General features: G+C 35.5%; 1 protein-coding gene across 8 annotated transcripts in view; it reads right to left on the bottom strand.

Moving 5' to 3' along the window:
• Positions 1 to 13,345, bottom strand: part of RNF180 (ring finger protein 180) — a 207,519-nt gene that overhangs the window by 3,486 nt on the left and 190,688 nt on the right. The window lies entirely within an intron of this gene.

Below are 13,345 nucleotides of genomic sequence, written 5' to 3'. Positions count from 1 at the left end.
GCTGCACCTATTAACTCATCATTTAGCATTAGGTATGTCTCCCAATGCTATCCCTTCCCACTCGCCCCACCCCACAACAGTCCCCAGAGTGTGATGTTCCCCTTCCTGTGTCCATGTGTTCTCACTGTTCGATTCCCATCTATAAGTGAGAACATGCGGTGTTTGGTTTTTTGTCCTTGCGAGAGTTTACTGAGAATGATGATTTCCTATTTCATCCATGTCCCCACAAAGGACATGAACTCATCATTTTTTATGGCTGCATAGTATTCCATGGTGTATATGTGCCACATTTTCTTAATCCAATCTATCATTGTTGGACATTTGGGTTGGTTCCAAGTCTTTGCTATTGTGAATAGTGCCGCAATAAACATACGTGTGCACGTGTCTTTATAGCAGCATGATTTATAGTTCTTTGGGTATATACCCAGTAATGGGATGGCTGGGTCAAATGGTATTTCTAGTTCCAGATCCCTGAGGACTCGCCACACTGACTTCCACAATGGTTGAACTAGTTTACAGTCCCACCAACAGTGTAAAAGTGTTCCTATTTCTCCACATCCTCTCCAGCACCTGTTGTTTCCTGACTTTTTAATGACTGCCATTCTAACTGGTGTGAGATGGTATCTCATTGTGGTTTTGATTTGCATTTCTCTGATGGCCAGTGATGATGAGCATTTTTTCATGTGTCTTTTGGCTGCATAAATGTCTTCTTTTGAGAATTGTCTGTTCATATCCTTTGCCCATTTTTGATGGGGTTGTTTGTTTTTTTCTTGTAAATTTGTTTGAGTCCATTGTAGATTCTGGATATTAGCCCTTTGTCAGATGAGTAGCCTCTTCTAGTTCAGTGCATTAAAGGCAGGGTAGCAAAGAACACAGGATATGAAGTCAGGAGATTTGCCTAGGTCTGCCACTTGGCTGGGGCAAGTCATTTAACTCTTTTGGTCATGAATTTCTCATCTATACTATCTGATTTCTTCAAAAATTTGTGGGGATCAAATGTAATTATTTTCAAGAGAATATTTTCTAAATTTATCATGTTTTATTTTTACAACTGCTTTTATAACTTCTGATCACCAACTTAACCTTGTATCTTATACTTTGAGAATTTCATTCAGTTTAGTTCTTTGAGCAAAGTTCTAAGAAGAATATCTTATTTTAGCATCGAATAAACTAGACAGACATAATGATACTCCTTTAAAGAAATTTAGCTTTAATTTCCATAGAGTTCAAAGCATGGGGATTTGTTGGTACAGAAAAAGCAAATCTTGAAAGTCAACTATAGTCTACTTATTACTAAATGAATATGACATTTCTGAGAAATATTACATCATGAAATACAATTTTCTTTTGTGTATTTACATGCTAATTAGAGCTTGAGAAAAAACCTGCTCAATAGCAACTTGTTTTTTTTGGTTGACCAATATATAAACTCAGTCATTTAAAAAACAAAATTCAATTCTCTGAAGACTGATAACCTATTAATCTTTTGCTTTTTACTTATCTGCTTTCTACTTTAAGTATTTCTGTGTTTATTCATGTTAGGGAACAGGGACAGCATAATAAACTAGGCAGAAAAATGTAATTCTGGTACTCACTAGCAACTATGGTGATAAAAGTTCTGTGAAGCTCTAGCCTGAAGCAAACTCTGGTTCACTCATTATAACAATTGAGTAATGTTAAATATTCTCTAGGTCAGGCTGCTTATTCTGATGGCAAGGTTGCATTTACCTGGGTATTAGTATGCTCATTTAAAGTCAAATCTCTTTAATCAAGAACTATCCTATTTTTTATGTATTAAGTTTATTTGGAAATTATATTTACTTACGTAGGTTCAAAACATGAAATTTAAAAAGATAAACATGAAATAAGTGATATTTAAACAGAATTTGTAGAGCTACATTTCAAATAGGTTTTTAAATAATTTCTAATTGATCTTGGCTGACTTTCTATCATATCTGATTTGATTTAAAAACTTTTTTTACTGCTACACAATATTTGTACATTTTAATGGAGTATATGTAATATTTTATTGTTTATCTTTGTAGTCTGGTGGTTTTCTATAGTGGTATCCTGTGTATTTTTTCTCTTGTATGTTTGTTCTACCATTTGGGTTTTACTTTCATGTGTTTTCATGATATCATTCTTTTGCTTCCAGGTATAGGACTCCCCTAAGCATTTCCTACAGAGCCAGTCTGGTGGTGATGAATTCCATCAGCATTTCCTTGTCTGGAAAAGGCATTATTTATCCTTCAATTCTGAAGGAAAACTTTGTCAGGTATAATATCCTTGGCTGCCATTTTTTTCTTCAGCACTTTGAATATGTCATTCTATTCTCTGGCCTGTAAGGTTTCTACTAAGAAATCCAATGTTTTCTGATTGGGGTTCCCTTGTAAGTGACTAGATACTTTTCCTGTTCTAAAAATTCTATCTTTGACTCTTGATAGTTTGGCCATATGTACCATGGAGGAAACCTTTTTGCAGTATGTCTATTTGGGGATTTCTGAGCTTCCTGTATCTTGATATGTAAATAAATTTCTAGCCTTGCAAAGTTCTCATCTATTATTTCATTAAATATGTTTCCTATCCCTTTCGTTTTCACTTCATCTCTGGGACACCAAAAATTTGAATATTTGATCACTTTATGGTGTCCCATATGTCACACAGGCTTTGTTCATCCTTTTAAAATTCTTTTTTTCTTTATTTTTGTCTGACTGGGTTATTTCAAGAGACCTGTCTTAAAGTTCTGACATTTTTTCTTCTGCTTTATCTAAACTGTTACTGAAGTGCTTAAATATATTTTGTATTTCATTTACTGAAAGAGATGGGGAGAGAAGCAACTTGGAAAACATATTACAGGAGATCATCCACGAGAACTCCTCCAACCTAGCTATAGAGGCCAACATTCAAATCCAGCGAATACAAAATATTTAGTAAGAAGGTTATCCCCAAGGCACATAATCATAACATTCTCCAGGGTGGAAATGAAATAAAAAGTGTTAAAGGCAGCTAGAGAGAAAGACCACCTACAAAGTGTAGTCCATCAGACTAACAGTGGACCTCTCAGCAGAAACCTTACAAGCCAGAAGAGATTGGGGGTCTATATTCAACATTCTTAAAAGAAATTCAACCACGAATTTCATATATGGCCAAACTAAACTTCATAAGCAAAGGAGAAATAATATCCTTTTCAGACAAACAAATACTGAGGGAATTTGTCACCACTATACCAGCCTTATAAGATCTCCTGAAAGATGCATTAAATATGGAAAGGAAAGACTGTTATCACCCACTGCAAAAACTCTAAGTTCACAGACCAGTGACACTATAAAGCAACCATAAAAACAGGTTGGCATAATAAACAACTAACAACATAACAGGATCAAATCCACATATATCAATATTAACCTTGAATGTAAATATGCTAAATACCAGTTAAAAAAAGGCACAGCTTGGCAAGCTGTATAAAGAACCAAGATCCAATGGTATGCTGTCTTCAAGAGACTCATCTTACATGCAATGACACCTATAAGCTCAAAATAAAGGGATGGAGAAAAATCTATCAAGCAAATGGAAAGCATAAAAAAGCAGGGGTTGCAATCATAGTTTCACAAAGACTTTAAACCAACAAAGATAAAAAAAGACAAAGAGGGGCATTACATAACGGTAAAGAGTTCAATTCCATAAGAATACTTAACCTAAATATATATGCACCCAACACAAGAGCACCCAGATTCATAAAGCAAGCTCTTAGAGACCTTCAAAGAGACACAGACTCCCTCACACTAATAGTGGGAGCCATCAACACCCCACTGAAAGTACTAGATCACTGAGGAGGGAAATTAACAAAGATATTCGGGACCTGAACTTGACACTTGACCAAATGGACAGAACTCTCAACCCCCAAACAACAGAATATACATTCTTGTCATTGCCACATGGCATATACTCTAAAATTGACCACACAATTGAACATAAAACAGTTCCCAGAAAATTAAAACTGAAATCAAAACATCCACACCCCTGGACCACAGTGCAATAAAAACAGAATCCAATAAGAAGAGGTCCCAAAACTATATATTTACATGGAAATTAAACAACCTGCTTCTGAATGACTTTTGGGCAAATAATGAAATTAAGGCAAAAATCAAGAAGCTCTTTGAAACTAATGAGAAGAGTTAAAAGGGAAACTTACAGCACTAAACACCCACATCAAAAAGTTAGAAAGATCTGAAATTAACAGCCTAACATTACAACTAGAGAAGCAAGAGCAAACCAACCCCAAAGCTAGAAGACAAGAAATAATCAATATCAAAGCTGAACTGAAGGAGACAGACACAAAAAGCATTCAAAAGATCAACAAAACCAAAAGCTGTTTTTTTTTTTGAAAAAATTAAGACAGGCCACTAGCTAGACTAGTAAATAATAAAAGAGAAGATCCAAGTAAACAATCAGAAACAACAAAGGGGATATTACACCACTGACTCCACAGAAATACAAGTAACCATTAGAGAATATTACGGACACTTGTATGCATACAAACTAGAAAATCTACAACAAATGGACAAACTCCTGGACACATATACCCTCCCAAGACTGAACCAGAAAGAAATTGAATCCCTAAAGAAAACAATAATGACCTCTGAAATTGAATCAGTAATAGCCTATCAACCAAAAAAATTCCAGGACCAGACTGATTCACAGCCAAATTCTGTAAGATATACAAAGAATGCTGGTACCATTCCCACTGAAACTATTCCAAAATAATTGAGGAGAGACTCCTTCCCAACGCATTCTATGAGGCCAACATCATCCTGATAGCAAAGCCTTGCAGAGACACAAGAACAAAAAAATAAAACTTCAGGCCAATGTCCTTGACAAACATCGATGCAAAAATCCACAACATAATACTGGCAAATTGAATTTATCAGCACATCAAAAAGCGAGTCCACCACAAACAAGTAGGCTTTATCCCTGGGATTCAAGTGTAGTTCAATGTATGTGGATCAATAAATGTGATTTGTCACATAAACAGAACTAAAGACAATAACCATCATCTCAATAGATGCAGAAAAGGCTTTCAATAAAATTCAACATTGTTTCATGTTAACTCTCAACCAACTAGGCATTGAAGGAATACACCTCAATAATAAGGGCCATCTATGACAACACCACAGCCAACATCATACTGAATCGGCAAAAGCTGGAAGCATTCCCCTTGAAAAACATAAGACAAGGATGCCCTCTGTAACCACTCTTATTTGACAAGCATTGGAAGTCCTGGACAGAGCAATCAGGCAAGAGAAAGAAAGAAAGAGCATCCAAATAGGAAGAGAGGAAGTCAAACTATCCCTGTTTGCAGACAACATGATTCTATATCTAGATAGCCCCATAGTCTCAGTCTAAAAGTTCTTAAGCTGATAAGCAAATTCAGCAGATTCTCAAGATAGAAACTCAATATGCAAAACTCACTAGCATCCCTATACACCAACAACAGGTGAGCAGAAAGCCAAATTAAGAACAAACTCCCATTCACAATTGCCACAAAAAGAATAAAATACCCAGGAATACAGCTAACCAGGAAGGTGAAAGATATCTACAAGAAAAACTACAAACCACTGCTCAAAGAAATCAGGGATGATACAGACAAATGGAAAAACATTCCATGTGATGGCTAGGAATAATCAATATCATTAAAATTGCCATACTGTCCAAAGCAATGTACAGATTCAATGCTGTTCCTAGCAAATTACCAATGACATTCTTCACAGAACTAGAGAAAACTACTTTAAAGTTCATATGGAACCAAAAAAGAGCCTGAATAGCCAAGGAAATCCTAAGCAATAAGAACACAGCTGGAGGCATCACGCTAGCTGCCTTCAAACTATACTACAGGGCGATAGCAACCAAAACAGCATGGTACTAGTACAAAAATAGCGATCAATGGAACAGAATAGAGAGCCCCAAAATAAGGCCACACATCTACAACCATCTTATTTTCAACAAAGCTGACATGAACAAACAATGGGGAAAGTATTCTCTCTTCAATAAATGGTGCTCGGATAACTGGCTTGCTACACGTAGAAGACTGAAGTGGACCCCTTACTTACACCATATATAAAAATCAATTCAAATGGGTTAAAGACTTAAATGTAAAACCCAAAACCATAAAAACCCTGGAAGACAATATATGCAATACAATTCTGGACACAGGAATGGGCAAAGATTTCATGATGAAGATGCCAAAAGCAATTCTGCAACAAAAGCAAAAACTGATAACTGGGATCTAATTAAACTAAAGAGCTTCTGCACAACAAAAGAAACTATTAACAGAATAAAAAGACAACCTACAGAATGACAACCTACAGAATGAGAGAAAATTTTTGCAAACTGCATCTGACAAAGGTCTAATATCCAGCCTCTATAAGGCACTTAAATTTACAAGAAAAGAATAACCCCTTTAAAAAGTGGGCAAAGGACATGAACAGACATTCTTGAAAAGAAGACATACATATGGCCAAGAAACAGCAAAAAAGCTCAATATCACTGATCATTAGAGAAATGCAAATCAAAACCACAATGAGATACCATCTCACACCAGTCAGAATGGCTATTATTGAAAAGTACAAAAATAAAAGATGCTGGTGAGATTGCAGAGAAAAAGAAATGCTTATACACTGTTGATGGGAGTGTAAATTAGTTCAGCCATTGTGGAAAGCTGTGTGGTGATTCCTCAAAGTCCTAAAAACAGAACTACCATTCGACCCCAGCAATCCCGTTACTGGGTATATACCCAAAGGAATATAAATCATTCTATCATAAAGACACATGCACGTGTATGTTCTTTGCAGCACTATTCACAATAGCAAAGACGTGGAATAAACCTAAATGCCCAAGAATGGTAGACTGGATAAAGAAAATATGGTATCTATACACTACGGATTACTATGCAGCCATAAAAAAGAATGAGATCATGGCCTTTGCAGGAACATGGATGGGGCTGGAGGCCATTATCCTTAGCAAGCTAATGTAGAAACAGAAAACCAAATACCACATGTTCTCACTTATAAGTGAGAGCTAAATGATGAGAACACATGGACACAAAGAGGGGAACAGTAGACACCGGGGCCTATCAGAAGGCAAAGGGTGGGAGGAGGGAGAGGAGCAGAAAAATAACTGTTGGGTCCTAGGCTTACTACCTCAGTGATGAAATAATCTGTATATCAAATCCTTGTGACATGAGTGTACCTATATAACAAACTTGCACATGTACCCATGAACCTAAAAGTTAAAAAATTATTTTAATCAATAAATTAAATTTAAGTTTAATTAAAAATAAATTTATTAAATTAATTTTAAATTTCTAATTTCTTTCTAATAGGATAAATAAGCAGAAGATTTTGTCTGGTAGGGTTGAGCTTATGAGGATCACAAACCACTCTAATATCCAAGATTTTTTTTGTCCACCAAATACCAATTTTTGTCCCCATTTAAAATGCATGGTACAGGAGACAATACACTTAGAACTATTATGATAACATAATAGTCAATGTATATATTTTAATAGACACAACCACTTCATTCTAAAAAAGGATTTGGATTGGAGTTAATAGTAAGAGAAGCTTCTGCATCAGGAATTCACTTTTACAGGCATAATCATAACTTATTCTTTGTGATAAGCTGTTAATTATTTTGGTATTAAGACATGGTTCAAAGAGTACCCAGTATTCTTAGTTCATTTTAACTATGCTATAGTTCATTTTAACTATGCTATTTTAAAGTAAGAGACATAATAAGGACACATACTTCAAACACTTTTTTGCCATATAATCCAGTGAAAAAAAGGCACACTGCAGTGAAAATTGTACTCTTCAAGGAATCTGAAGAATTGAATTCTTGTGCCAATATTCCACATACTCATTATTCACAAGTCAAAATAATTTCTCTGTATCTCTGAAGATGTTCATATGGTTTTCTCCTTTAATCTGTTAATGTGATAAATTCAACTTGTGAATTTTTCTACTGTTGAATAATATTAATTTTATTAAATTGATTTTCTTTCCTCATATATACCATTCCTTCATATGGATAAATTCCATATGTCTTTAATACTGGTTTTTTGATACTAAGGAACTCAACTTGTTACTATTTTATATGGCATTTTAATCCATATGCTAAAAAGGAGATTGGTCTATAGTATTCTGTTTTATGACACTTTTACCTGGTTTGTGTATCATGATTTTATTGGCTTCATAAAACATGTTGGCTGTTAGGTGACAATTTTCCATGGATCAATGTGTGCCTGCACATCTTGCAAGCAGAAGTACTAACTGCCTTTGTTCTGGACTATTTTTGAAAGATATTTGCACAGCAAACTGTCTCGGAAGACAGAGTGTCTCCATTTGGAGCAGAGTATAGGTTTGTTTGTATTAGAATATAGCATATTTAATGCCTATTATAAAAGATTTGAGTTTTGTAAGCTTAGAGATCTCCCATGTAACACACTCCATTGCATATATGAATATCAAGATACCCTATGGGAAATGAGGCTCAGGTATCCATCACAAATGCTGCTACTCTGGCTACCGCTGTGAGTAACAAACCATCCTTTGTCTCTAACACATAAGTCTTGTGTCTTCTGCCACCATCTATGACAGTGGCCAAATAACTTGTTAGCTTACGAATAGGGTAAAATGTCAGGCCATTAACAGTTCTAGACATTGGTAATTTGGTAATCTCTTTTAGTATCTTAAACAGTTTGCATAAAAATAGAATTCTTCCTCTTTTCCTAATTGAATACCCTTTATTTCCTTCTCCTGCTTAATTGCCCTGGCCAGAACTTCCAACACTATGTTGAATAGGAGTGGTGAGAGAGGGCATCCCTGTCTTGTGCCAGTTTTCAAAGGGAATGCTTCCAGTTTTTGCCCATTCAGTATGATATTGGCTGTGGGTTTGTCATAGATAGCTCTTAGTATTGTGTTACATCAATACCTAATTTATTGAGAGTTTTTAGCATGAAGGGTTGTTGAATTTTGTCAAAGGCTTTTTCTGCATCTATTGAGATAATCATGTGGTTTTTGTCTTTGGCTCTGTTTATATGCTGGATTACATTTATTGATTTGCGTATATTGAAGAATCAATATTGTGAAAATGGCCATACTGCCCAAGGTAATTTACAGATTCAATGCCATCCCCATCAAGCTACCAATGCCTTTCTTCAGAGAATTGGAAAAAACTACTTTAAAGTTCATATGGAACCAAAAAAGAGCCCGCATAACCAAGTCAATCCTAAGCCAATAGAACAAAGCTGGAGGCATCACACTACCTGACTTCAAACTTTACTACAAGGCTAAGTAACCAAAACAGCACGGTACTGGTACCAAAACAGAGATATAGATCAATGGAACAGAACAGAGCCCTCAGAAATAAGGCCACATATCTACAACTATCTGATCTTTGACAAACCTGAGAAAAACAAGAAATGGGGAAAGGATTCCCTATTTAATAAATGGTGCTGGGAAAACTGGATAGCCATATGTAGAAAGCTGAAACTGGATCCCTTCCTTACACCTTATACAAAAATCAATTCAAGATGGATTAAAGACTTAAACGTTGGACCTAAAACCATAAAAACCCTAGAAGAAAACCTAGGCATTACCATTCAGGACATAGGCATGGGCAAGGACTTCATGTCTAAAACACCAAAAGCAATGGCAACAAAAGACAAAATTGACAAATGGGATCTAATTAAACTAAAGAGCTTCTGCACAGCAAAAGAAACTACCATCAGAGTGAACAGGCAACCTACAGAATGGGAGAACATTTTCACAACCTACTCATCTGACAAAGGGCTAATATCCAGAATCTACAATGAACTCAAACAAATTTACAAGAAAAAAACAAACAACCCCATCAAAAAGTGGGCGAAGGACATGAACAGACACTTCTCAAAGGAAGGCATTTATGCAGCCAAAAAACACATGAAAAAATGCTCATCATCACTGGCCATCAGAGAAATGCAAATCAAAACCACAATGAGATACCATCTCACACCAGTTAGAATGGCAATCATTAAAAAGTCAGGAAACAACAGGTGCTGGAGAGGATGTGGAGAAATAGGAACACTTTTACACTGTTGGTGGGACTGTAAACTAGTTCAACCATTGTGGAAGTCAGTGTGGCGATTCCTCAGGGATCCAGAACTGGAAATACCATTTGACCCAGCCATCCCATTACTGGGTATATACCCAAAGGACTATAAATCATGCTGCTATAAAGACACATGCACACGTATGTTTATTGTGGCATTATTCACGATAGCAAAGACTTGGAACCAACCCAAATGTCCAACAATGATAGACTGGATTAAGAAAATGTGGCACATATACACCATGGAATACTATGCAGCCATAAAAAATGATGAGTTCATGTCCTTTGTAGGGACATGGGTGAAATTGGAAATCATCATTCTCAGTAAACTATCACAAGAACAAAAAACCAGACACCGCATATTCTCACTCATAGGTGGGAACTGAACAATGAGATCACATGGACACAGGAAGGGGAATATCACACTCTGGGTACTGTTGTGGGGTGGGGGGAGGGATAGCATTGGGAGATATACCTAATGCTAGATGACGAGTTAGTGGATGCAGCGCACCAGCATGGCACATGTATACATATGTAACTAACCTGCACAATGTGCACATGTACCCTAAAACTTAAAGTATAATAAAAAAAAATAGAATTCTTAAAGGTTTGATAAATCTAGCCTATAAAACCACTTGGGCCTGTACTTTTTTCAGGTCTATGGGCAGATTTAAAAATACCTATCAATTTCTTTAATATTTGCTGGTCTCTTCATGTCTTCTAGTTCTTCTTGAGCCATTTCTAATAACTTTTATAAAAGATTATCCATTACATCCAAGTTTTCAAATAAATTGGAGTAAAACTTTCATAACTGTTCCCTTAAAGCTCTTCAGAAATATTCTAGTCTCTGATTACATGGTTGGTTTGTGCTTCCCTGTCCCCTGGAAGTTACGAAGGCCATGGGACTTGACCAATGAAAATGATTGTCCAATGAAAGTTACGTGTGTTGTTTCTGGATAGAGGCATTTATCAGTTTAAGTTGCTTTGCAGCAGTCTCTTTTCCTCTGCCACAATAACCAGCAATATACCAGACAGGGGCTGCTCTGTCATCGTGTTTTAGGTTGGGTTCCAAGGTTTAGGATGATGTTGGGTGGAGCACCCAGCAGTTCAGTGAAAATTGTAATCTCACTATGAATTCTTACTGAAAACAATGAAGTAACTAATAAAACTGCTGAAGAAACAGGTGATAAAAATGGAAGTTGAATCTGACCTGTTTTCCCACATGGAAAAACAAGCTCTTGGAGAAATTCACTGTGGTGAAATCAAAGAGCAAGAAGGACCCGTGAAGAAAATCTACAAGTTGATATCAGGTTTAGGTTATAAAAATTACAAAGTTACTCTTGTCTTTTCTTCAATTTTATTTTGTAGAAATAATTTTACATCAGAGTGATTTCTGTCTCATATCCTAGAAAACAAGGCTATGACTTTTTTTCGCTACGGAATATGATTCGAATTTATATTCGCCATCAAAGACCATAAAGTGAACTCTATTATTTTGAAGCTTGTTTCAGAGATAGAAAAACTATCTCTGAACAGTTATCTCACTAATTTTTGTAATTTTGGTAGGTTGTGTTGTGCTAATGGTAGACATTCAATATATGTTTTTGGATGGATGAGTACCTGCATAAAAGGACAGACTTTAGAGAATAAAATGAATAATTAGCATATTTTTGAGACTGTCCTAAATCAAGCCTTTCAAATATATTTTCAGCAGGAATTGAAAATTAATATGAACATATTTGAAAGACATTTTGCAGGTTCTTTAGAGGCTAATTCAGAGAGCCTTGAAATTAGTATTAAAAAGGAGACATGTCCTATCTTTCAAATATGATGGGACGGATAAAAGGTTAAAGCACAATATTTTACTGCTTCATATTACATAAGAATTTTGTTATGTCAAAAGTTGATTGATATAAGTAGGTCTTAGCAGAGGTGGAGAGATATATTTATAGTCACAACTAGGTATAGAGTTACTGTTAATATACTTAAAAAGTTAATGCAAAATAGATTTTAAATTTCATCTTTTCTCCTATACCCTTAGGCTCCTAGAGTAAAAAGTATTAATTCTGAAAGTTAATCTTTTATATTGAATAAGTTAAAATTTATTGTACATTACTTATAACATCTGCTTAAATTTCAATATAGTTTATAAAGTTAGGCTACATTACACATTTTTTTGTTTCGGTTCAATAACCAGGTAAGAATTGAATACTGCTTTTTTAAAAAAATAGTTTTTATTGGGTAAGATATATATAACATAACATTTGTCATTTTAACCAATTTTAAGTGTACAACTCAGTGGCAATAACTACATTCACAATGTTGTACAACCATCACCACTATTTATTTTCAAGTTTTTTCATTATCCCAAACAGAAACTGTAGCCATTAAGCAATAACTCATGAGTCCCTTTCCCCAGCCACTGGTAATCTCTATTCTGCTTTCTTTCTATATGAATTTGTGGAATCACTCAATCTTGGCCTTTTGTGTTTGGTTTATTTTACTGAGTATAATGTCTTCAAGGTTCATCCATATTGCAGTATGTATCAGAATATCATTCCTTTTTATGGCTTTTACTCCTTTTTACCTATTGTATGTATATACCACATTTTTATCCATTCAATTGCTAATGGAAATTTAGGTTGTTTCTACCTTTGGCTATTGTGAATAATGCTGCAATGAACATTGGCATACAACTATCTTTTTGAGTCCCTGTTTTCAATTCTTTTGGGTATACACAGAACTGTAGAGTCATACGGTAATTCTATGATTAGCTTTTCGAGGAATTTACATTTCTCCCAGCAATGTATCAGAGTTCCAATTTCTCCTTATTAACATTTTATATATATAGTATATAGTCTGGATATTAAGTCATTATCAGAAATGATTTGCAACCATTTTCTTCCATTCTGTAGGTAGCCATGTTGTCTTTTTACTTTCTTGATACTGTCCCTTACACCACATTTATTTTTTTTTTTGAGATGGTCTCACTCTGTCAGCCAGGCTGTAGTGCAGTGGCACAGCAATAGCTCACTTCAGCCTCAACCTCCTGGGCTCAAAAAATGCTCCCAGATGTCAGCCTCCCAAGTAGTTAGGACTACAGGCATGCACCACCATGCTCAGCTAATTACAATTTGTTTTTTTTTTAGAGACAGGGTCTTGTTATGTTGCCCAGGTTGGTCTTGAACTCCCGGCCTCA

Source organism: Homo sapiens, chromosome 5, assembly GCF_000001405.40.
Source record: "Homo sapiens chromosome 5, GRCh38.p14 Primary Assembly".
Taxonomy (NCBI): domain Eukaryota; kingdom Metazoa; phylum Chordata; class Mammalia; order Primates; family Hominidae; genus Homo; species Homo sapiens.
This window is presented reverse-complemented; position numbering and strand designations above follow the sequence as displayed.